Source organism: Homo sapiens, chromosome 6 (assembly GCF_000001405.40).
Source record: "Homo sapiens chromosome 6, GRCh38.p14 Primary Assembly".
Lineage (NCBI taxonomy): Eukaryota > Metazoa > Chordata > Mammalia > Primates > Hominidae > Homo > Homo sapiens.
Window position 1 is genome coordinate 167,822,881 of NC_000006.12, and position 25,899 is coordinate 167,848,779.

General features: G+C 40.2%; 1 protein-coding gene and 1 long non-coding RNA gene across 54 annotated transcripts in view, besides 4 other annotated features; one reads left to right on the forward strand and one right to left on the reverse strand.

Annotated features, from left to right (window-relative positions):
* On the reverse strand, nucleotides 1,010-3,916 carry AFDN-DT (AFDN divergent transcript). The gene is made up of 2 exons (NR_027906.1): nucleotides 2,523-3,916; nucleotides 1,010-1,926 (listed from the first exon to the last, which is right to left on the reverse strand). It is a non-coding gene; the product is annotated as an AFDN divergent transcript (long non-coding RNA).
* Nucleotides 3,000-3,069: a silencer, noted in NCBI's record as "silent region_17792". NCBI's record gives its function as "represses an Ori minimal core promoter by ATAC-STARR-seq in GM12878 lymphoblastoid cells {active_cell/tissue: GM12878}" and the evidence as "EXISTENCE:reporter gene assay evidence [ECO:0000049][PMID:35858748]".
* Nucleotides 3,654-3,723: an enhancer, noted in NCBI's record as "active region_25460". NCBI's record gives its function as "activates an Ori minimal core promoter by ATAC-STARR-seq in GM12878 lymphoblastoid cells {active_cell/tissue: GM12878}" and the evidence as "EXISTENCE:reporter gene assay evidence [ECO:0000049][PMID:35858748]".
* AFDN (afadin, adherens junction formation factor) overlaps nucleotides 3,684-25,899 on the forward strand; it is a 145,460-nt gene continuing 123,244 nt past the window's right edge. For 47 of the 53 annotated variants that reach the window (XM_047418788.1, XM_047418789.1, XM_017010878.2 and 44 more), the window contains exon 1: nucleotides 3,684-4,357. In XM_047418788.1, coding sequence (XP_047274744.1) covers nucleotides 4,253-4,357 — 105 coding nt within the window. In that variant the 5' untranslated portion in view covers nucleotides 3,684-4,252. Of the gene's footprint in view, nucleotides 4,358-4,754; nucleotides 5,053-25,899 lie in introns of those variants that run through there. The other 6 variants (NM_001366321.2, NM_001386888.1, NM_001410951.1 and 3 more) reach the window with 2 other exon arrangements.
* Nucleotides 3,754-3,833: an enhancer, noted in NCBI's record as "active region_25461". NCBI's record gives its function as "activates an Ori minimal core promoter by ATAC-STARR-seq in GM12878 lymphoblastoid cells {active_cell/tissue: GM12878}" and the evidence as "EXISTENCE:reporter gene assay evidence [ECO:0000049][PMID:35858748]".
* Nucleotides 3,984-4,183: a silencer, noted in NCBI's record as "silent region_17793". NCBI's record gives its function as "represses an Ori minimal core promoter by ATAC-STARR-seq in GM12878 lymphoblastoid cells {active_cell/tissue: GM12878}" and the evidence as "EXISTENCE:reporter gene assay evidence [ECO:0000049][PMID:35858748]".

Sequence of the window (25,899 nt, forward strand, 5' to 3'; positions counted from 1 at the left end):
TAGAAGGCTGCCTGCCCTAGAAGGTCTGCTATTGGACCTTTATTAAATCCTTTTCCTTTACTTTTTTTGCTAAAGACCATCCTCTAAATTGATATATCTACTAAAAGGACTTGTAAGATGATTTATACAGTAATATTGACACTTTTCAAAATTTGATTAATTTAATAAAATATGGAATTTATTGGTGGCTAGAAAATTAAATGACCTAGGGTACTAAATATAGTTGATATAGTTAAACATAGTTGATATATTTGTATCTTTTTTTTTTTAGATGTATTAATCTTTTCCCTGGTACCTACTATTTTCTAGAGGCTGTGAAAATTGGGGCAGGAAAAGGTTTATTTCATGTGGCTGGTCTCAGAACCTGGTTTTCATAATATTTCGAAAAAAATTTTAAAGTAAGTGCAAAGTTTAATCAGAAATTCAAAAATATTATTACTTTCTGTCCTCATATTTATTCCTATTATGTGATACTTCTTTTTTTAAGAGACAGTCTTGCTCTGTTGTCCTCTATTACCTGGTACTTTTAGGTTTTACGTAGATTTTGGTTTTAGATAGGAGATACTTAAAAATATTAGTATACCAGTGCTGATTGAAATAGAAGCTGTAAAACTTTTTGAACAGTGCAACTAACAATAATATACGTTTAAAAGGAAAACTAAAATTATAAAGTAGAAACTTGAATTTTCAAAAACCGACTTATAGATTAAAAAGGTCTTTTTCAACCTCGCCCAGTGCAGGTTTGTTTAGCTTCAGTCCAGTCCTTTATCTTGCATTTCAGTCTCACCATGTATAAAATGGAATTAATAACAGAAAAGCCCATTCTTTTATTTATTTATTTATTTTGAGACAGAGTCTTGCTCTGTCGCCCAGGCTGGAGTGCAGTGGCGCGGTCTCAGCTCACTGCAACCTCCGCCTCCCGGGTTCACGTCATTCTCCTGCCTCAGCCTCCTGAGTAGCTGGAACTACAGGCACCCACAACCATGCCCGGCTAATTTTTTTTTTTTTTGTATTTTTAGTAGAGACGGGGTTTCACCGTGTTAGCCAGGATGGTCTTGATCTCCTGACCTCGTGATCTGCCCGCCTTGGCCTCCCAAAATGCTGGGATTACAGGTGTGAGCCACTGCGCCCGGCCCTATTTTGTTTTTTACAGCATTTCTTGGATATCATTTAAGTACAATTTTTAGATGTACCAGAATCCAGTGGTGCAATGAGAATAGAAGATGGTAGCATGTTTACCTTTTATTGTTCTAGGTGGTTATCAAAATTAACATATGGCTCAGAATATCATCCTGGAGTCTTGACCGATGACAGCGAAATTATTTGTCAGCCTGGAAATTTTCATGTCCTAAACATATACCAGTTATGGGAGTGTTCATGATTTAAGAATCATAGGTATTCTATGAATTTTTGGCTGCTCTTAAACATTTGTCAATAAACTAATGTTGGTTGGGACCTACAATAAAGTGTAGTTTAGATATTGATATACCACTCATACATAATACAAATGGGGACTTTTAATGACAGTCAGAAAAACGAGAATGATTCACATTAATTTCGAGCCTTCTATGTGTCCTGCATCACCCAGTAGGTATTTCACATATGCTATATGTTTTTTATTACAAAAATAACACTGCAGAGAGCCCATAACTGTTTTCCAGGAATCCTGAATTTTCTCTTTAGTGATGCTACACATACTTACTTTGGACATCAGCAATCTAACTGCCGGCTTTGCAAACTCATTCTTCAAGAGGCAAGTCATTCTTGGTAACAGCGTCCTCAGGAATGAAGCTCCTGCAGTTGAGGTTCAGTGAACGCTGCGTCAGGGATCTGCGCAGCACGTGTGGAACCCAATGAGAGTCCTTGCTGTGCAGGCACCGGGATGCTCACATAGTAAAAACTCGAGTCCATCGGGAAGCCCAGGAACTGAAAGGCATAAAGAAACCGAGTGCTAGAACACGAAGATGACATTTAGACACAGATGCTTTTCTGCAAGTCACCACACTTTAATTTTAAGAAAGGAGACTAGCGATCTATTGAATAATTCATTCCCTCATGGCACTGGTTCAACACCCCAGGCTCCTCTGCTGAGAAGCCTCCTTATGTAGCTGTACTGGACAAGTGCGGTAGAAAAGACAGAACCCAGTGGGGATGACAGAATTCTTTAATTGTCTGCAAAAGAGGAAATCCAGTTGGTGGAGAGAAAAATTATTTCCACATTGGAAAAAAAAGTAATGACAAAAATAAAAAGGCTTTGTCAAATATAGTTCACTCTTCTCATTACTTGCCTTAGTGTTTCAAAGATAAACGCTTTTTGTTACAACACATCACAGATAACGCAACTTCGCCTGACTGAACCCGGCGTGGGGAGACTGCAGAGATGGCGCTCTGCAGCCAAAACAAAGGGTGGGGGAGGGGAGGGGCAATTACAAAAAAGACACCTTATGAAAAAAAATCCCTACAATTCACAAAGCTTGCTACTGAAATTAATTTCAGGTTTCCACGTCCACGGGGACACGTACAGGATTTAAAATGACGATCACGTGGCATCTCTCAGGGCCAAATGGGGCGCATCAAAGCTTCCCCTCGACGTTTATTAACTCTGCAGTCCGTTCTCTACGTCTGCGAAGAATTGGCAGATAACGATGTGTCTGAGAGAAGAGGCGTTTTCTAAGGAGACACACAAAGGGAGTGGGACCCTCCAACCTCACTCTGTGAGAGGAACACCGCACAGCAGTGTGGGGGCTCGAACACCCCAAGAGCGGCAGAGCGCGGTTCAGAAAACATGACCCTTGAAATGCACACAAAGCCTAACAACGTGTCCTCCGCGGAAGAAAACAGCTTGAAAAGGTCGGCTTTGAAGTGACCCAGCGGAAAGGAATCACCCTGGAAGAAACACGCAGCAGCCCCGGGGCAATGCGCGGGCAGGAGGAGCAGCGAGCGCGGGGAGCGCAGGGCCCTTCGGAGAGGGCGCTCCACCGGCCCTGCGCTCCGTACCTGTGCCGCCACGCCCACCGGTCCCCTGCTGAGCCTAGCACCGCCCATTTAGACCCAGCACCACCCGTCCGGACCGAACCTAGCACCGCCCGTCCGGACCCAGCAGCGCCCATTTGGATACTGCACCGCCCGTCCAGACCCAGAACCGCCCGTCCGGACCCAGTACCACCCATCGGACCCAGCGCCGCCCATTTAGACCCAGCACCGCCAGTCCGAACCGAACCTAGCACCGCCCATGGGACCCATCGCCCGTTCGGACCCAGCACCGCCCGTCCAGATCCAGCACTGCACCCCCATTTGGATCCAGCACCGCCCGTCCAGACCCGGACCCGCCAGTCCGGACCGAACCCAGCACCGCCCATCGGATCCGGCGCCGCCCATTTAGACCTAGCACCACCCATCCGAACCGAACCTAGCACCGCCCATCGGACCCACCGCCCGTCTGGACCCAGCACCGCCCGTCTGGAACCAGCACCGCCCGTCCACAGATCCATCACCACCCATTTGGACCCAGCACCGCCCGTCCCCGCCCGTCCGGACCGAACGCAGCACCGCCCATCGGACCCAGCAGCGCCCATTTAGACCTAGCACCGCCCGTCCGAACCGAACATAGCACCGCCCATCGGACCCATCACCGCCCGTCCAGATCCAGCACCGCCCATTTGGATCCAGCACCGCCCGTCCGGACTCTGCACCGCGCGTCCGGACCCAACACAGCACCACCCATCGGACCCAGCACTGCCCATTTAGATCCAGCAGCGCGCGTCCGAACCGAACCTAGCACCGCTGGTCGGGAAGGAACCCGGTACCGCCGGTTGGGACCCACCACCGCCAGTCCAGACGGAACCCTAGCACCGCGCGGGGCCCGCCCTCCGACACCTCCCTCCCTGGCGGCCGCGGCAGCAGCACCTAGTGGAGCGGCCCGGAGGTGCGGCGGCGCCGCGCGGGGCGGCGGCGCGCACGGCGGGCGGCGGCGCGCACGGCGGCGGGCGGGGCGCGGGCGGGTGCGGGCGGCGGGCGGCGGGCGCCGGGCGCACACCGGCCGGCGGGGCTGAGGCGGCGCGGCGCGGCGCGGACTGAGCCCCAGGCGGAGGCCAAGTCGGAGGACGCGGCGCGGCCGCGGAGGCGGAGGCAGCCGCGGAGGCGGAGGCGGCCGGCGGGGGGTGGCGAGGGGCGCCGGGCCCCCGCGGACCTGTCGTCCTCGGCCCGTCCTCCGGCCCCGGCCCCGCGCGGCTGAGGAGGCGCGGCCAGGACCATGTCGGCGGGCGGCCGTGACGAGGAGCGGCGGAAGCTGGCCGACATCATCCACCACTGGAACGCCAACCGGCTGGACCTGTTCGAGATCAGCCAGCCGACCGAGGTGAGCACCGCCGGGCGCGGGGCCTGCGCGACCCCCGCCCGCTGCGCCGCGCCCCGCCCCTCCCCCCCGCCGCCGCCCGCCAGCCGCGGACCCGCCCTCCTTTCCCCCTCCCCCCTCCGCCCCTTCTCTCCCCTCCCCCTCCCCCAGGCCCACCGCGGGCCCCGGCGTCCCCCGCAGCCCCCGTCCCCCTGCCGCGGTGTATCCCGGGGTCGCGCGGGCCGAGCGGGGGCTGGCGGGGCGCGGCAGTCACCTGTTCCCCTCTCCGGCCGCTCACCTGGTGGCTCACCTGGGCCGCCGCCCCCACCCCCGCGAGCGCGGCGCGGCCCCGGCCTCATCCCCGGCGGCGCGGGGGGCGCGGCGGCGCGCGGGGCCGGCGCCCTCCACCTGCAGCCCGGTTGTGGCTCGCGGCGCCCCTTCGCCGTGGCCGGGATGGAGCCTGTGACGCGCGCTGTGCTTCGGGTTCATAAACTTGCAGGCTGCCAGCTGGGAGGGGAAAGTCAGTATCACAAAGTTCGGGAGGTGCGGGCTGCCTGATGGCACAGGCCCGGAGTCGGACGCCTCCGAGGAAAGGCGCGCCTTCTCCACCTTCGGGGCCGCGAGGAAGGGCCCTCTGCGGCGGCCTCTGCCCGGAGGGAGGCGCCGGCCCCAGGCTGGCTCCCTGAGAGGAGGAGGAAATCACGCTCGCTCCTGGCCTGGTAACAATGGGGGTTGTTTATAGCAAAGCTGCTGAAAGCGTTCCGAGCAGCTTTTAAAAAAATGTTTGAGTCCAAGTCCACTAGGAAGGGCTCCGTGGAGAGGGGAGGGAGGTGAAGGGTCGGGGAGCAACCCTGTAAATCGCTCCGCAAGGGTCGGTTCCGCGCTCTGTTCATTCGGTGGCTGCACAGACTTTACCAGCATAAAAAAATTTCACTCAATATTTGTGCCCGTTTAGGAAATCATTTTAATAGCGTCTATTTTTGATTTGTTGTAATAGGTAATTTATAGTTAATACTTGCTATAAAATACTAGCTCCTAGGCAACAAAACATGTTTGGCAGATTTGAACATTCTTACGAAATGTAATCCTTTTATCATTAAATTCCACTTTATGTTTTTGAGAGAATTTGACTATTGCTTCTCTGATTTCTTGAGTTTTTGCCAGTCATGGGAAGGACTCTATTTCTTCTGTTTTCATCTGTACCTGTGACTGCACTTGACGTGGGTAGCTAGCCATTTGTCTTAATACTGAGTTGAATACTGACACACGCCATTAGGCTCAGGTTGTCAATTTGAGCATAGATGTTATGTTAAGTTACTCCTGATTCATTCATCTTCTGTAATGATTTTATGAGTTAGGTTCTAGTAAGGGAGTTAGTACTATGTACTTAAGTGTTCGTTCATAGACTAGTGTATCTTTAGAAAGGTGACATGATAATTTAGTTTCAGGATTATGTTTTCTTTTAGAATAATGAATTCATTTTTCTTTTTATCACAAGGTAAAAAAAGTTGACCATAAAACATTTTCTTGGTGTGTAGCTTTTTTTTTTTGTTTGAATGGATTTTTTTTTTTTTTGAGAGATTTCTCAAGTCTGGTGGAAAGGAATCTTTTTTCGGTTTAATAAAGAGAATTCAGCTTTTTGGGATTTTGAATTGAGTTAGCATTAAAAAAATCTCAAATCAGAAACATTATAGTTCATTGATTTAATTAAATTCTATTTTAAGCACTCAATTGAAACTTTTTATTTCTTAGTGATATGACTAGTTTTTAAAATTGGCCTGTCATTTGGAAAGCTGTTTTTTCAGTTATACTGTAGGTGAAAGTTTGCTTTGTACATACACTGAAGCAAAACAAGAATTGAAGGACTTGGAAAAAAAGATGATATATTTCATTTCCTAATTTTTCTCCCTACTTATATCTGAACATTTCCATTTTTAGAAATTATTCTTCAGAATTGTATTAGAAGCCTTTCATAATGAAATGAATGGTTTTTAAGAATGTCCATATATTGGTTTTTTAGCTTTTTTACTATATAGTGGCTGGCTCACATTTCTATTTTGTTTTCTCGAGAACTTTCCTGTACTATTAAATTTATTCTGGTCCTAGTTAAGCTTTGCATTTAACATATTGTATCTTTTATTATGATGTAGGTAAACTTAATATGAGTAATTCTCTCAGCCAGTATTTCAAGGCCAACAGTTTCAATTTGCTTTGTCTAAGCTCGTGTGAATTTTTTTTTTTAACCATCTAATGATTATTTTTACTCTATTTGGCCATCACAAGTCCAATTTTTTAGTTTTCTGCAAGAACAGAAGCATTGTACTGGTCCTTATCAGATGTTCAGTAGATGTTGAACAAATTCACTGCAGGAGTTGATTTGTAGAAATAAGATTTAAGCCTTGTATTTATTTACTTGGGTAATCTTTTTATGTGTATGAGAGTATAGTTGTGGGTTTTCTTTTGTTGTTTTTTTTTTGGGTACAGTGATAAGTATCTGTTTTCAAATTTTATAACTTCATTAATCATCTATGATTGGTGGTTTCAGGCAGCTTTGATAACCACTGATAATTTTGTGGTTTCTGTGTTTAGGAAGATGATAAACTTGGTTCTTTGGATTACATTCTTTTTTTAAGAAAACTAGAGTATGTTTTAACATCATCCTGGCTAAGTTTGCTTTTTCCTTTGTATTCACATTTGTGGGTAAAGGAAGGGCTTACAAAGAATAAGCAGGCTATCACTGGAGTATTTTTCAGGCTCTTTGTCACTTGGATCCTAGATTCATTTGGAATTTGTAAAATGAGAGTTGATCTGAACCTGATGTTGTTATTTTATAACCAGGAGATTGATGCTAAGCTGACTTAATGTCTTGATTACTATGAAAAGCTGTAGCTCACAGAAACTCCTTAAAGTATGTATAGTCCCTCCTTTGCTTATTTTTAATGTTACAGCTTGTTTTCTTTTAGGGATTCCTGGATAATTATGGCAGCAGAGTCCTTTTAATCTTTCCTGTCACCTCCTTAGAAGAGGGCTTCTCTGGTTATCCAAAGGTCTCCCTGTTGGTTTTAACTTACCAGACTTGTCATTGTCATTGGTATGTCTGTCTCCCTCTTATTACACGAAGGCAAGAGTGTAGAATTTTCTTGGATAATTGTTCTGTATCTTGCATGGTAGGAGCTCAATAAATATTGTGTGGAAAGAATGTTGAATATGGCCTTCATTGTATATACCTTTATTCATGACAAAATATGGCATATATGCTTTCTAAAAATGTAGTGAAGAGTGTTTATTAGGCCAGTGAGTATTTATGTTTTCATGTCTTATTCTTAGTTTTGCAAGAAGCTTACACTTAAATGCAGAAATTATGCTAGGTAATTGACTATTTAGCTTCACGAGATACTTCTTAAAGTCATTTATTTTTTATTGGATTTATTGCCTCCTTCTTGCCCTGATGGTAAAAATAACCCAGAATTTATGTGGACACCTACATATGCTTTATTACAGGTGAATACATTACATTTTAATACTCTGATTAATCGAGAAGTAATGTGGTGATTCATGTTTTCTGGAGATGTGTGTAAGAAATAACTTTGTCAGCAGAGGTGGAGTAGGAAGTCTTCAGGTGAAGTGGTAATAATTGCATAACTTATAGCTACATCTATATTCCAGACTAATATTAGCTTGTGACTATGCTTTATCATACAACTGAACTATATTTGAAACTTTTTTTTTTTTTTTTTTTTTTTTTTGAGTCAGAGTCTCACTCTCTTGCCCAGGCTGGAGTGCAGTGGCACGATCTCAGCTCATTACAACCTCTACCTTCCAGGTTCAAGTGATTCTTGTGCCTCAGCTACCTGAGTAGCTGGGATTACAAGCATGTGCCACAACATCTGGCTAGCTTTTGTATTTTTAGTAGAGACGGGGTTTTGCCATGTTGGCCAGGCTGGTCTTGAACTCCTGGCCTCAGGTGATCTGCCTGGCCTCCCAAAGTCCTGGGATTACAGGCATGAGCCACTGTGCCTGGCTGTCAATAGTTGTATTTTTAAATATTGGTACTGCTGAAGATCTGTTTCTGGTGACTGATGTTTTAATGAGATGGATGATTGCCAATGATGTATTTTTAGTATTTATAGGCATCCCTATTTTTTATTTTTGATAAGTTGAATCTCATTGGTGGTTATAACCTTTTAAAAATCTTTTATTTCCTTTAATAACTGGTTACGTTTTATGTTTGATTCGGTGTGTTCTTGTAAGTCTGAGGGACAGCTCTTATCTAACAGTGTTGAGTCATCTTAAGTTGAAACTACATCTAGGCTAGTTTCAATTTGCTGTCTTCCTGCCAGTGAAAAATAATTTTATTTTACATAATTTGCAGACCTGATGGAAAATAAGTGTTATAACTGTAGACTTTTATAACACTATCAAACTGTGATTGTGGTTAAATTAATAGTGGCAGACTAGCAGAAGTGGGTCTTTCATATTCTTGAAAAACAGGGATCATAAATGATTAGGATATGATACCAAATTGGTGAGAAGCTTAAGAAACGTTTATGATTGTCATTAAGGATTTGATTGAGCAATTGTAGTGTATAAAGCATTATTTCTAGGTGTTGGTTAATCTGGTAGCATAGACTAATTTGTTTATAAACAGTTTTACCAGACTTGAATTTTGGTGTAATGTCAGACAGTGTGTACTAATAAGTAGGATAGCATTTATTTTGATATAAACATGTTTCTTTATTATAAATAAAATGTATATGCAGGTAGCAGTTATTGAACATATGAGACTGAACTCATTTGAAAATTATTTTCAGGTTAGATTGAGTCTTGATTTCTGCTGTTGTTCAAATGTTTGCTATTTCTGTTAGTTTTCTGGCTGATAGTATATAGGATATACCCATTCACCTTGTAGATACTTAAGACAGAGATCAAATGTATCTGTCTGACCTACATTTACACTTGTAAGTTGGATACTGAGCAGTGTGCCAAATCCCACAGACCCTTTAACCAGTTCTGGGCATGTCGGAGTTGGCTAACGCTGATGTGCTGATAGGGCCTGAAAAATCTACCGGTGGGCTTCCAGTTCGTGTCTCTCTATGTGGGAGTTCATAGCAGGAGTGTGCGTGTTCTAAGAATTGTACCGTCTTTGTTAATGAGTAGAAGATTTTTCTGAACATTTCTCGTTGTGTGTAACTGGGCTAAAGCAGGCTGAGAGGTGGCAAGGGAGATCTTTGCCTAGCTGAAGTCATCTGGTTGAGATTTTATTCTAGCAACCATAAGAACATAAAATTCACTAATCATTTTGACATATGTGATTGACCAAAACCATATTAGAATTTAATTTAGAAAGTGAATGTGCTTAATAAAGTGAGAATAAGCATATAGAGAGGTGGTTCAAATACAAGCAGGAAGGTATTTTCCCAGTGTATTTCCAAAAAGGATAATTTGAAGTTTTATACTTACAAATTTATGCATGTATGTCATGAGTGAAACTCTTTTGAGGAACTGAAATGGAATAGTTTACTATGGCTGGAAAAGAGCCAAAATTTTTGTGCTTTTGCTCACAAGAAATTTAATGTTAAAATTGTATGGCTTACAGAAAATAAGCAATGTCAACCTTGGTTGCACATGTTTACACTTTGCTGTGTTTTTAGGCTGAATATACACAACTTGCTTTACCTTGTAAGCGTCACTCCTTTGTAGTTAGAGTGGCTATGTGGAACCCTGTGAGTACAAGTGGGCACTATTAATAATTATACCAGGACAACAGCCATAAACTGGAGTTGTCTCCTTTAACTCTAGGTATGAACAGGTTGGACTTGCTGGCACTGTTTTTTCAGTTTCTGCAGTTTCAAACTTCCTGAAGTTTATTAGTGCCTGACTGACCTAGGCTGACAGGACAAGACCATTTTCACAGAATATTCAGACTTTTTTGTGGGTGTTTTAAAAACCATCTTCCTCTTCGGTAGGGTGGAAGCAGGCTGAAAAGTACATATTGCAGTTGAGGCTAGCTCTAGTCTAGCTCTGCCACTGACTATAGTAACAACAGCAGGATAGGTTGTTTCCAAATTAGGAAGTCGTGCCTTGCCTCCTAAAACTCCACCTGAAAGTGCCTTTGATTTTCAGAATAGAAGAAAGGTTGACCCAACATTATGATCCGTGAAAAAAATGCTCATTTGTTTGTTGTTTGGGGGGTGTTTTATTGGCTGAGTGGTGCAGTGGGCTGTTCTATTCAGAATCCTAGCAAGTTCTCTTGCTTGAGTTCATACATGTTCTATTAAAGGAAAATCAGGCGGTTTCTGCTCTTTGCAGACTTAAAACTTTTGGTTCTTCCAAGAATTTGCTTTCTCTTTATTCTTGTTTGCTCATAGTGGTACTTTCCATTGTGGTCTACTTATTATTCTAGTTCCTGATTTTTTTATAGGAGAACCAACAAAAATTCTGTCAATTTTTTCACTGTTAACCAGCTTTTGGTACTGAGCTTTGAGGTTGCCAGTTTCCCTCCTCCTCTTTGACTTCGGTTCTGTATGTTAAGTAGAGAAAATGAAATGGGAGTAACAATATGGTCACTCTCAGACACTATCCACTGTTTTAAAAACATTGTATTTTTAAGTTTTATAATCTCTTATAAACATGCTTAGTATAAAATTCATAGATTGAGGACATATCTTTCAAATATGTTATTTTAAATATTGTTATTATTATCCAAATAAACTTCTGAGTGCTGCAGACTCCTAGATGCTCATACAGTATACCATGATTTTACATAGGTTGCAAAGAACATTTGTTTTTCAATAATATGATTTTACACGAGCTTTTTAATGAGTTATTAGGTTACATTACATTACACTTTTTACATTAATTTCATTGGGAAAAACTTGGAATTTTTTTTTAAATTTTTTATTTCTGTAGGTTTTTGGGGAACAAGAGGTATATGGTTACTTGAGTAAGTTCTTTAGTGGTGATTTGTGAGATTTTAGTGCATCCATCACCCTAGCAGTGTACACTGAACCCAGTTAGTAGTCTTTTATCTCTCATCCTCTTCCCACCCTTTTCCCCGAGTCCCCGAAGTCCATTGTGTCATTCTTAGGCCTTTGTATCCTCATAAGTGCTCGCACTTAGGAGCGAGAACATATGTTTGGTTTTCCATTCTTGAGTTACTTCACTTAGAATATAGTCTCCAGTCCCATCCAGGTTGCTGTGAATGCCATTAATTGGAATGATTTTTGTTGTTGTTGTTGTTTCGGTTTTTTTTTTTTTTTTTTTTTTCGAAAGGTATAAAACGTGATAGATGGAACACTGGACTACATCTTGAATAACAAGTCACGGTGCATCACACCATGAAAACACCCCTCCTGCCACCCATGGAACGATTCTTTTTAAGAGGCATTGGGAATAAAACCAGTTGTGTCAAGGATTCTAGTTTGAACTTACTTTATTTTCATTTCTGCTGTCCTCCTTTGGAAGATTCTTTTAAATACTTTTCATACTCTATACAGTGGCTTATCCCTGTAATCCCAGCAGTTTGGGAGGCCAAGGCAGGAGTATTGCTTGAGCCCAAAAGTTTGTGACCAGTCTGGGCAACACAGTGAGGTCCCGTCTCTACCAAAATTTAAAAAAAAATTAACAAGCAGGGTGGCACATACCTGTGTTCCCAGCTTCTTGGGAGGCTGAGGCAGGACGATTGCTTGAGCCCAGGAGGTCAAGGCTGCAGTGACCTATGAAGGAGCCACTGCACTGCACTGCAGCCTGGGTGACAGAGTGAGACCCCATCTCAAAAAAGAAAAACATTTGTCTGCCTTGCACTTTGAATGGTTCTTTTACTCACGTGTGATTTTCTTCCCTCTTGTTGATTATTAGGAAAATATTGATTCACTGAGTTATGCAGATCTACTAAATGTTGATAAATTTCCTTAAACAATAACAAAATGTTAACCTTTGTTAATATCACCACTGATCTCATCAGAAAAATTGTAAGTATAGGGAAGCTCTCAAACTCTCAGTAGTGGATACAAGTTTTTAAAAAATTTTCATTTCAGAGCTCAAATTTTATTATTGACATCACTGTCATAGGCAGCACTTGAAGAGATAAGCTTGCGTTATTCATTTTTGACAAAATGTCTGTCAAATATCTAAGCCTAAATAAGCATAGTTGTTCTTTCAAGTAAAAAAATGGTGTTCCATGAAAGAAGTGACTAATTCAATTCACAACTTAAACAATTGCTCATATACTTTTTTTTTGAGACAGCTGTCAAGCTGTGGTATGCAGAAGGGCTTTATGTATGCCTCCCATTTTGGCACATAATTGAACAAAGAAACGTACTCAATTTTCAAGGAAATCAGTCATTTTTTTCTGTTGTACCAAAGACATTCTTAAGTGAAACTGGCTTTTTAAAAAAGTTTGCATGGTAGTAAAAAATACGTTTTGTATATAGTGCATTTTGATGCTACTGCCTTGATTTGGTGCTAAGGTGCCATCAGCTATACTCATCATTGCTTTGACCATTCATGCAAATTCCAACAAAATGAGAAAGGCTAATACTGTCAAAATATTACTAAGAAAATAGTTTTGATCTCACAGATGACCTGAAAGGGTCTCAGAGAACCTTGGGGGTTCATGGACTGCAGTTTATGAGCTGCTGCCCTAGAATGTTTAGTGATGAGTTTTAGGGCTGATTTAAAAAATATGTGTGTTCTAAGGTAGATATTATGTGGTTTTCCAAGTAAGGCTATAATATAAACGTATAATATTTAAAATGTAAACATAGGGCTCATTATTATGGAAGTATACATTTCAACATTTATTTTACGCATTATATATTTTCTGTATTTATAAATGCCTCCTTTTAATTTTTAGTTATCAGTGCTAAGATGCACACATTTACATTTTTGTGACTTGAGAATACTGGCCACAAGCTATTAGAGTGATGACCATCAAGTTTTATTACTTGAATTCACTCGGGATGTGACCTAAGCCACACCTACTTATGGGACATTTTCAAGTTCTACTTATAGATCTTGTAGTTCAGGGAGCAGTGGCGTCTCATGTATTCAGCACAATGTGGAGTTATGCTGTTGTTTAATGTGGCTTAGGCCTTCTGGCACTTGTCTGCCCCTTCAGTCTCCGTCTCCCAAATATAAACTCTTGAGTTAGCCAACCATCGGCTGTGTAAAGACGTCTTTTTCTCCTACTATGTTTAGTTGTATTTTCCCTTGGCTTATTTCCTGAGAAACAGACACACAAACACAGACAGTATTTTATGTTCTAAGACCAATCACGCACATATGGATTTTTAATACTTCAAAATAATATGTGGATATATTAAAAAAATACGTGTAGTAAAAACAAAATGTCAGAGTACTGCATTTATATTTAAGATTAGCATCACTTAAGATTAGTTTTATTTCTACGTAGTGGCACCTTGTTTTGCACAAAATATATTGTGTTGTTAATTTATGGATGAGTGCAAATGCATTTTGAGTTTTTAAGTCACCAATTTAATTGTTATAGATAGCATTACTAAACTATTATGATGGTACACAATTTTTAACCGTTTAGTGCATCATGCTTATTAGCAAACATTGTTTTAATTTATCAGAACAATATAATACAGATAAAAAATTGTAGTTGGTGAATATATGAATTTGTAATGATTCTTTTGTAAAGCAGCTAAGCTTTCGTTGATTCAGAACTCTGCCAGGAGTACCATGGACAGTGTTTTTACTGAATTTAATGTTTATGACCTCGAATATTTAAAAATGTGTTTTTAATTTAAGATTGGCAAAGGTGACTTCAGTGAGTTCATAGTACAATTAAAGTGGTTTTTGTGACAAACTTGCTGATTTTAATTTATAAAAAATATATTTTATTACCTTCATGACATTGTTAGTTTTGAGAATATGAAGGACAGTGAAATTAAGACTAGTAAATCAGGAAAAACATTAAAAAATATTTATGATATGGCTTATTTTTAAAGTATATTCTTGCAAATATGATTAGACATGAAGGAGCTAGTATGTTTGCTTCACTATAGTAAGATACATTTAAAAAATATTTGCTTCTTTCCATTATTCAAATATGCTTATTTTAGAGCATTTGGAAAATACAAACAGAAATGAAGGTAACAAATTACCTAGTGTTCTGCCATCTGAAGAAATGAGTTGCTTTTCAGGCTTTTTTTTTTTTTTTAACATTTTATTTTATTTTGGAAAAAAGTTTGCGTGTATGTTTAGCTGTATCTGCTTATTAGTTGTTTACATCTTTAGTACTGAATCGTGTTTCTTAACCAGCCATGCATCTGTCAGGAATCTAGTTTTTAAAGTCACCTAAGTTATTCTGATAGTAATTGTAATACATCACATGTAGTGAACACATGTGATATATACCTGACATTAGTGTAAATGCTTTGTGTATGTTATCTTTTTACGTTCTCCTGTGAGGTATGTCCTTTTGCTGTTCCCATTTCTGGATGAAGAACCCAAGGCACAGGGAGATTAAATAACTTGCTTCAGGGTATGCAAAACTAGTAAGCCACAGAGCAGTGATTGGAACCCAGATCCTCTGACTCTGGAACCTTCTCTTAAGCACTATGTTTGTAAAATCCAAAAATTTAAGGTCACTGCAATGAAACCAGTGTTTGGAAGTTTTATAGGAAAATAATATCCAAGTAGAAAATTTGGAATGTAATTTTCAGGAAGAACCACAGGCATAATGTAATAAAACATCTCTTCTGTTTTATTTGGATCATATACTTATGTGCATATATATTTATTTCATACATAAATACATGATGTATTGATTTTCATCTAGACTTTTTAAAGCCCTATTATAATTTTATCATTGTGATAGTAGATTCTGTGTTTTGTAGCCAAGGTGACACATGCCATATTTTATTTTGTAACTATATACAAACCTTGTATCTTATATAGCATCCAGAAATTGGAATATGAATGAGGAGTTCAGTGAAGAAGTCTTCATAGCTTCACTGATTACTTTCTTAGGCCTATAGGAAAGAAAGGAGGTCAAGACCTACCCAAGGTTCAGATGCCTTTTTGACAGCATTGGCTGTGACGCTGCGCTTGTGGAGATCGTTGTGCCTGCTCATGCCATCTCGCCATCTCGCTTAGTCCCTGTCCTCTTACTGGGCTTCCTCTTGGTGCTGCCTTGCCTGACTCTGCTCTGGATGTTGCCCTAGCCCTTCCCTGGTCTGTGCTTACAATTAAACAATAAACAAAATGTGTTTATTCTGTGACTCTTGGAGACTCTGGTTCTCCTTACTGCCATCACTCAGTTAATTTTGTGTCATAAAGTTTTATTTACACATTAACTAGCAATTTTTCCCCAGATAACATTTGAATTTTAACAATCTTCGAGAGGTTATCTTTATTACCAACAGTTCCTCAACATCTACTGAACAAATACTTGCATTTCCAAATGAAAAGGGTGAATCTCAGACACAGTGGCCTGTTGTACCTTCTTACATCCTACAGCCCATCTTCTCTGGTGATGAGCCTTTGTTTTTCCTTCTTGTAAGAAACAGTGAAGCTTGGCGAGTAACCCTGGAGGAGGTTTCTAGGTAGGAAGTTAGGAATATTTTTCTTTCATGAATCATGGGTGCTCTGAATATTTGATTTTAAGAACCACATATTAGCCTACCTGATATTGTGATGAGAATAAACTAAGACTACTCACTCTGCTAGTGTTGTAAGATGCTTAGATGCAGGTAACTTCAATTGCTCACCCATTATATTTTCCTTATTTCTATCGGTTTAATGTAGCGTTTGCCTTTAGATTCTTGTGGCCAATATTCTTGCATAAAATATAATTTAACTTCAAAAACTTTTTTTTTTAACCAAGTGGCACCCAACCATGAAGTGCTACCTGTTTATAATTTGTGTAGCTGCTGAACAGTAGCTTCTGATAAATCAGTAATGTTAACATTTTATTAGTGTAATGGCATCTTAGACATTTTATTTTAGTATGTAATTACAAATGCATGTTTTTGAGAAACACTTCAGATTTTACATTAAATGTAATGGAAATTATTGTTTTCATGAACTGATGCCTATGAACAGCAAACGTTTCGGAAATAGTTATGTGCCTGTTTCATGGGCCGAGAAGCATGGGAAATTGTTTCTGTTGTTTACTTTTTTTTTTTCCAGTAATGGCTTAGCCCTATTAAAATTATGGACATTTAAACATTTTTCTTCAATTGTAGGGATTTATATGAGGATAATGTACTTATTCATTCAGACTGGTATTTATTGAGAGCCTGTTAGGAGTCAGACTTTGTCAGAGATGAAGGAATGAAGTAATCTGTGATCTCAAGGGAGGAAGTGAACAATTACCTAATGAGCTTGCTGTGCCTTAAGAAGAGGGAGCGGTAACTGGCACTGAGATCTGGGGCTTGACGTTGACTCCTAGCCCTCCCACTCAGTACATGTGTTCCTTTCTGTCTCCATTTCCACGTTCACTCATTGAGTGGTCATCCACTATATGTAAGTTTTGCTGAGCATGTGACACTTAATTGACACATGGTCTTTTTCTCAAAAAGCTCCCATTTCAGTATGGGAGATAAATTGGGGAAAAATGGCAGTAGTATGGTAAATACTCTATTTGGGTGGTGGGAATCAGGCACATGGTTACAGACTGGAGTCTCTAGATGAGAAGGAATATTCTATGGGGAAGAGGGGACCGGCATTCCTGCAGCAGAGATGTGTCCTCTTTGTACCCATTGTGTGTACACACTGTACTAGCACAGTGGTGCCGCGCTGAGCAAGAGGAGCACTGCAGCTGCGGCAGAATCTCATTGTGGTGGAAGACAGGCACAGCAAGCAAGCAGAGTGTGTTCAGGGCTGTGAAGAGGGGAGACCCGGTAGGTAGCTCATGGGCGGTGGACCTTTCCAGGATTTGTCAAGTCAGGGAAGCTTAACTGAGTTCATTTTAGGAAGTGATGTTTATTCTGAATCCTGAAAAATTTGTAGGAAATAGCTGGGCAAAGGGGTAAGGCTTGAGACCTTATTTAAAAACATTCAATTTGGTTGAATCTGTGCGCAGACATGTGTGAATATGCAGGCCCATTTTGTGGCTTGCAGATTGTACTGTTCCTCGTTATTCACTGTCCTCCTTGTAAGAGGATTATATGGCCTTTGCCCTTTTGACATCAAGTTTGACCATGTGACTTTCTTTGGCCAGTGACAGATACGGTTTCTGAGCAGAAGCTTGAAGTCCATTTCATGGTTCTGTCATTGCCTTTTTCTGTCATCCGTGAATCAGTGTGTCCCATGCTGGGGCTCATTCTTGAACCATAGTACCAGAATGAAGATGACTAGATCAGAGCTCCAGCTACTCACAGAATGATATGTTATTGTGAGAAAGAAATACAGCTTTGTTGTTGTAAGCTGCTAAGATCTTGGGGCCATGTGTTTTCATAGCATCATGTTGTGACTGAGAAGAGTACTATATGTGTGTCTGTGTGTACATGCAAGTGTACATACTAGTTGGTTTGGGGCTGAGGAGCCAGTTGCCAGTTATGAAACCAAAGGTGTAAATCATGGTCAGTTCTTATGGGCCTTGTAAGCCAAGTTAAGAACATTCAAGATGAAAGAACATGAGGAGGTTGACAGTTCAGATGGACCTCCCTGGCAGCCGAGTCTGTGGAGTGAAGGGAGGGAAGTTAAAAACATTCGAGATGAAAGAATGTGAGGAAGTTTGCAGTTCAGATGGACCTCCGTGGCATCTGAGTCTGTGGAGTGAAGGGAGGGCACGCTTGGAGGCGGGGCCTTCAGGCCTTCCTGCGCTTGTGTCTGTGAGATAAAGGCCTGAACTAAGGTAACAGGGAAGGAGAAAATGAAACTGAAGGAGGTAAACTGGAATTTGGAGACTGACGAGGAGAGAAAGGAAAGCATTCCAGGGAAACCCCAGTTTTTTGCTTGGCTACTTTGGGTAGGTGATGGTGTCATTAACCAGAATCAAAAATGTCAGTGGTAGATTAGATTTGAGTGGGGAAATAAAAAGTTCTCTTTGAGATACACCAAATTTGAGGTACTTGTGGATTTCCCAGAGGCATCCTACATAGGCACTTAGGAAGAGAGCCAGGGGATTCAGGGTGATTGTGTAGGTAGCAGGTAGCCAAGGCGTAGAGGAGACTACAAGGAAAAAGTTGTGTGAAGAGAGACAAGAACCTAGGACAGAAAGCCTGAGAACAAAATATCTTGTGGGCTGGGGAAGGGGAACTGGCTAAGTGTACTGGAAGGGAATGGGCATAGAAGTCCAATACAGGAAAAAAAAAATACTGTACAACGATGTCAGATCAGGAGAGGAAAGTTTAGAAAGTGTCACCTACTAAACTTCGTCCTCCATGATCTTGCTTTAAAGTTTGTTAAATTGCATTTAATTTAATTTCTACTCTCTGGTCTTGCTTCATAGTTTTTTCGGTATCCTCTTAAATGCCCCCCTTCCTAGCATTCTGTAAAGTTTCCTATTCTTTGATCATCTGTGATGTCCATAATATATCAGTTAGAGTGTTTCAATTTATGTTGCTAATTTTTTTTTTCTACTACTGGAAACATTTTTATGATTGTTATCTATTTTATTACTTCAAGAGCGCTCTGGATTCTCACCGATGCCTTTCTTCTTTTGAGATCCCATTCCTCTGGGACTTTGCAGCTGCCCTTTCATTCCTTCTGTCTTACTTCCCTTCCTCTCTGTCCTTTCTTCTTACCTCCCATTCACTCATCTTTGGGCTTTTCTCTTCTGTTAAAAGGCACTCAGGTTTTGTTTTTTAATTAAAAAAAAAACTTTGCTAAAGTTTTGTAACTCTTCATGTTTTGTCTCATCATTCATTAAACAAACATTTCTACTCCAACTTACTGCAGGAATTATCCCTTTCCCCCATCTACTCCTGACTCATTTAACCCTTGCCTTTCTTGCTTCTATCCCCAAAACACTGCTAGAACTGCCTTTCTTGATAGCCTTGATTTCCTGATTACCAAAACCAGTTGCCCACTGTGGGACCATAAAAGGCTTTATTTACCACCCTTTTTTTTTCTTGGTAATGATACTAGCCTCTTTCTGGAGCTATTCTTTCCTTATCTCCCTTAGTTGACTCCATTTTGCTCATGTCTCAGGACAGTGTGTATTGTAATGCTGGATTCTTGATGTTCTTCTACTCATTCTCTCAATTAAAAAATGCCCCATAATTAACTATGGGGCCACAATCCTGAGGTCAAGGAGGCACATTGATAATGACTCTAGCTGACATAATATACTTAGCATTTATTGACTTCAAACTGTGTATGCTTATTTAGATATTTAAAAATTTGGCTGGCATTCCTGGGTCACAGTATATACTCTGCAAGATGGGTTGATGGAGAGCCTGATTTCGTGGTAGCTGCTATTTACTGGGCTGTCTTCCTTCCTCTCCTCCACTAGGATGTATTATTTCACATACTTGGTTTCATCTCACTATGTTGACATATTGCTTTCATCACAGAATCTGGACTGCATATTTCTAGGTGAAGTAATCTAGGTGATGATTTACCTATACTAAAATCCAGTATTGATTTTCAATTTTAGATTGGCAGTCAATTGAGAATATTGCTCAGGAAATGCTGGCTTTTGCTGTTTTTCAAGTCCTCTGCCTTGGTGGTTGTCTTTAGCATCTCCAGTAAAGTTTTATAAAAACACATGAGCTTTTAGTCATTTGCTACTATCTGTAAATAAAGGTCTACAAAAAAAAACTAAAACTATGTTTGATTTTGGTGGCCAGTCTTGGAAGAGAGGAATTGAGGAAATACAGTAGTTAATGAGTAGTGGCATAGGATAGGGGAGGAAAATAAATTGAATCCTGGAGTTTCAGTAGGAATCAAGTGCACTTGGGTAGCTGACAAAGTTGGGATTTGACTTATTGCTCCAGTATTCTCTCTTAGATTAGCCTATGTGCAAATATTACCTCCACATCGTAAACTTGATTGGTCTCTTTGCTTCTAGTCCATTCTATACTCAAATGTTACATTAATGTCCCCAATATTTCATCACCTGGAGGACTCCAGACTGCTAAAATGCCCCTTTAGCAATTCCTGACCTCTTCTCCCTACAATATGAGAAGAAAAAGTTGCTGTAGGGAAATCTACTAAAAGTCAAGGATGTGACAGTATTCCTCACTGAATTAAGCACTAAGTATAAGAGAGCTATTTTATTGCTAAGATTGATGAATGGGCATTAGTACATTGTTAATGCACTTAAAAGGGTATTGCACTAAACTTGAGCTCTTTGAGGACAGAGACCAGGCTGTGTGGTCTTCCAGAGGAGGACACAATGTGCACAGTGGATAATTGAAGAATGCATGCATTAAGAAATTAATGAAAGTTGATCGGTAAGGACATAACTGTCATACACAAACTCAGCACAGTAAATTTGAAGACTTTTATTTAAAGCTTTGAAAGTCTGGCCCCTTGCTGGGCTTGTGTAGATTTCTTTAGAAATAGGATAACTTACAGCAAAAATTTATTAAATATAAGTAGCTCATTGCAGATATTCATGATTTGGTAGTACATTGTAAGAAATAATAGATTTATTCTGAGAATATGCTGCTGCTTTTCACCTGGTACTATAATCTGCTCATATAATTAGAACCTTTTGTGTTAACATTTCAATATCTGACTAAAGGAGAAACACCTTGGGATAGTTAGGCTGTTGAAGACTAATGTAAGCTTTTTCAGGTGGGCAGTAACTGACCTGTTTTACTCAAAGGGAAACTTAAGTTTTATAGCAAGAGATATGGAGAGCTTGTATTTATTAAGATTTATGTGGATAAAATTTAGTTCGTGTTTTTTGAATTGAGTCTGTAGGGTAAATTTGAAGGTCTCCCTTTCTCCTCTGAATTCTAGCTATCCAGACATAGCCACTGTAAGGAATTTTTACAGTGTGTCTTTCCCAGTTTTGCTCTTGTAGACTCAAAAATGAAGTGTGTGTGTGTGTGTGTGTGTGTGTGTGTGTGTGTGTGTGTTTTGAGATGAGATCTTGCTGTGTTGCTCAGGCTGGTCTCTTAAATCCTGGGCTCAAGCAATCCTCCTGCCTCCCAAATAGCTGGGATTACAGGAATGCACCATTGTAGCACAGCTGTATTTGAATTTTGTTTTACAAAAATTGGATCGTAGGATATACACTTTTCTGCAACATGCTTTATTAAAGAAATTCTCCCATATTTCTATAAAACAAAAGTATGTATAAATATAATTATCTTTTTAGTAGCTGTATAATCCATGTAGTAATCATTTTCTTAACTATTAATGAACACTTTGACTGTTTCCACAGTACACTGTTTCAGTAATGCTGCTATGAACATTTTTATACACATATCTTTCTATACTTGGGTATTTCCATAAAATAGATTCCTATGAGTGCAATTTGAGTCAAAGGCTGTACTTGTTGAAAATATTGATAGACTACCAAGTTATTATTCAAAAGGTAGGGGGCCCTCCAGTTTATGCTGCCACTGTTGTGACTATGACCCTTTACCTAACACTGCATATTATGAATTAAACTTTTCAGTCTGACAGGTAAAAAGTAATGTGTCATTGGTTTTAAAATTTGTAATTCCTTATTCATTGTTGAGAATGAGCATCCTTTTCTTTTCTTTTTTTTTTTTTTTTTTTTTGGTTTTTGAGACAGGGTCTCACTCTGTCACTCAGGCTGGAGTGCAGTGGCGCGATCATAGCTCACTGTAGCCTCGACCTCCCAGGCTCAAATGATTCTCACGTCTCAGCCTCCTGAGTAGCTGGGGCTACAGGCATGTGCCACCATGCCCAGCTAATTTTTAAGAAATTTGTATAAAGATGTGGTCTCACTATGTTGCCCACACTGGTCTTGAACTCTTGGGCTCAAATGGTCTGCCTGCCTTGGCCTCCCAAAATGCTGAGATTACAGACACGAGCCACTGCACTTAGCAGGGCATCTTTCATGAATGTTTCTTGCCATCTTTATTTTCTTTCTATGTGAAGTGCCTGTTTTTCTGTCAAGAAATTTGTTTTATTCTCGTCAATTTTTATGGAAAATCCTTTTTAAATAAACATTTTGATGTTTTACTGTGTTTATAAATAGTTTTTCCTACTCAGTCATTTTGGTCTTCTGATTTTATGGTATTTTTGCTATTAAATGAATATTTCTTTTCTTTTCTTTTTCTTTTCTTTTCTTGCTTTTTTTAGACAGAGTTTTACTCTTGTTTCCCAGGTTGGAGTGCAATGGCGCGATCTTGGCTCACTGGCACCTCCACCTCCCAGGTTCAAGCGATTCTCCTGCCTCAGTCTCCCTAGTAGCTGGGATTACAGGCAGATGGTATTTTTAGTAGAGACAGGGTTTCGCCATGTTGGTCAGACTGCTTTCCAACTCCTGACCTCAGGTGATCCGTCTGCCTCGGCTTCCCAAAGTGCTGGGATTACAGGCGTGAGCCACCACGCCTGGCCTAAATGAATATTTCTTAATACTTTGTTTTCTTATTTTTAGGGGACTTGAAATTTAACTAAAAAGACTGAGTGAGCACTTATTTTTTAAAACCCAAAATATCTTAGTGTATTAGTCTGTTTTTACACTGGTATAAAGAACTACCCAAGACTGGGTAATTTATAAAGGAAAGAAGTTTAGTTGAATCAGTTCCACATGGCTGGGGAGACCTCAGGAAACTTAACAATCATGACGGAAGACAAAGGAGAAGCAAGCACCTTCTTCACAAGGTGGCAGGAGAGAAGTGAGTGCAAGCAGGGGAAATGCCAGATGCTTATAAAACCATCAGATCTCCACTCAGTCACAAGAACAGCATGGGGGAAACTGCCTCCATGATCCAATCACTTCCCTCCCTTGACATAAGGGGATTATGATTCGAGATGAGATTTGGGTGGGGGCACACAGCCAAACCATATCACTTGAGTTACAGCGGATAGCTTGGACCCCATTCCTTTTACATCTAGTAGGTAGCAGTTTATCAGAGCTTGGGCGGTCTTTTTTTTCCTTAAATGAGGTTCAAATTTATTAAACTCTCTGTGACTGGACTGCGTGGTATCGAAAGAAGCCTTGGATGTAGGTTTGTTAATGAGATCTTTAAATGTTGACTAGTTTAGATGTTTTAAGTTCCTAATTTTTCATATGACTACAAAAATACTAAAATAATTTTACTTCAGTGACTTTGAGAAGATTCTCAAAATGAACTATAGGGGTGTTTTTTTCTGTTTTGGGGATAAATGAACATAAACAAAACTCCCCGAAAACCAGTGCGTGAACTTTTAAAAGTTCAAAAATAAGCCATGAGCTTTGTAGAAATTAGCCTTACTGATAGTTGTAAATAGTTAAGGTTGTCTGATTACTTAAAACTTCTCATTAACTTTTTATTTGTTGTGATGTATATTTATGAAATGGCTTTTTTTTTCAGTTTATTTCCACAAACATCACAGTAAAGAAAATAATTGAAGATTGAAAAAAGTATAATATTTAAAAAAAAAACCAAGTTGTTTTTTTTTTTTTTTTCAATGTATCTTAGAGAATCTTCTATGAGATTTGGGGGAGGAGTATAGGATGTCTAGGAAATGGCATTTTCAGGGGAGTTAATCTATTAGAAAAGTCATAATTAAAACTCTGAGTTAGTAGAAATCAAATATTGTTTAATATAATTCGTCAACTGAATCTGCGTTAAGACATTCAATAATTGTATTATTGTTTTGCCAGTTTAGTTATTTGATTGATGCAAACCTGTCATCTGTACAATAAAAAAATAGTGAGGTATGTCTATACTCTGTCAGTTTGTTTAATTTTAAAGCTGAAAGTTAAATTTTAGAACGCTTTTCATTTGCTTTTTTACCGTAAGTGGGAGCAGCTTTTAACTTCACGAAAACCACTCTCCTCAAAGTCATTAAAGACTTTCATGCTGACACATCCAGTCGTTTATCTTCTGATGCAGCAGCAGTTGATCACATCTTCCATCAAATTCTTCCTTCACTTGGTCTTCAGGACTGGCCTGTTGCCCAGACCTCAGGGTCTGATCCCAATACACACTCTTTTCTCCACTTATTCCCTAGGTGAAATATTTCATTTTTGTGGTTTTAAGTGCTAATATATTCCAAATTTACATCTCTAAGTTTGGCCCTTGTTCTGAACTTCAGCCCCATATAGCCAGTCCCTCATATCTCTATTTAGGTGCACTCTAGGCATCTCAAAGTGAGCCTGTCCAAAACTAAACTCTGATTTCCCACCACTGCACTCTCATCGGCACCGCACTCTCATCTGCTTCTTCTTCAGCCCTCTCCTAAGTCTTAGTGAACAGCAGCTCACTTTACCAATTGCTAATGTCCACAGCCTGGCATTCTTCTGGATTCCTTTCTTCCTCTCAGACCATGATCATATCTAATCTTAGCAGCAGATTCTGTCAGCTCTACTTTCAAAATATTTTTATAATTTAACCACTTTTCACCATCTTTGCTTCTTACTACTGAATTAATCCAGGCTAACTTCATATCTCCCACCTGGGTTGTTCCAGTAACCTCTTACTTAGTCTTAATTTATTTCCCTTGTCTGCCTTTGCCCCCTTACAGTCTGTTTCCTACACAGACATACACTTCTAAACCTTAAGTTAAATAATGTAATGTTTCTATTCAGACTCCCCAATTTTTTTTTAATCACTCAGTGTACCTTGACCTACAAACCTTATTCCTAATACCGTTTTTTCACTTTCTCATTCTGCTATAGCCACAAGGGGCCTGCTTGCTATTTGTCAGTTATGCCAACCAGGATTCTGCCTGGGATCTTAGTACTTGTTCCCTGGGCTTAGAATGTTCTTTCCCTACAATTAGGCTTTGCTCAAGTATCCTAGAAGTCTTTGTTGATTTACCCTATGTGAAACTGTGGGGGTAGCACTTTGGTGAAACAGGAGCTCCTCCCTAAATGGCAAGCTTTTTGAATACCTTGGCTTGAGTTTATTCGTAACTATCATGGTCACATTTCTTTGACAACATGTTCCATGCCTAGCAGTGATTCAGGCATTACAACCAGTCTCTTATTTCATTTGATTCCCACATCAGCAAAGGATATATTACTATTATTTACATTTCTTTTAGTTAAATAGTGTCCAGAAAGTTTAAGGAATTAAGAGTTACAGACATAGCGAAAGGGTTTTCTTTCTCCCTTTCTGCCTCCCCCAAGAAAACTACTGACGTGAAACTTCATATGAGTAGATATAGTTTATTTAACAGCTTTGCATTATTCTGTTGTCCGTATTCTATCTCTGTCCCTATCCAGAGATTAATAAATTGTATATACTTTTCCACAGTTACAAATGTGGATTTAATGAACAGTCTTGTCCATGTTTTCTTCTGTACTGATGTAAAATTTTTAGGATGAATACCTAGAAGTGGAATATTTAGATTCAGATTTTTTAGGTCCTGCAAAATTGATCTTGGAAATGGTTCTACCAATTTATATTCCAAACTTCAGTCTTCACCCTCCTCAATATATTCAGATTTGTTGATATGCTCTAAAGTATTTGAAATAATAATTTCAATTTGTTACCCTGATTTCCGTCGGT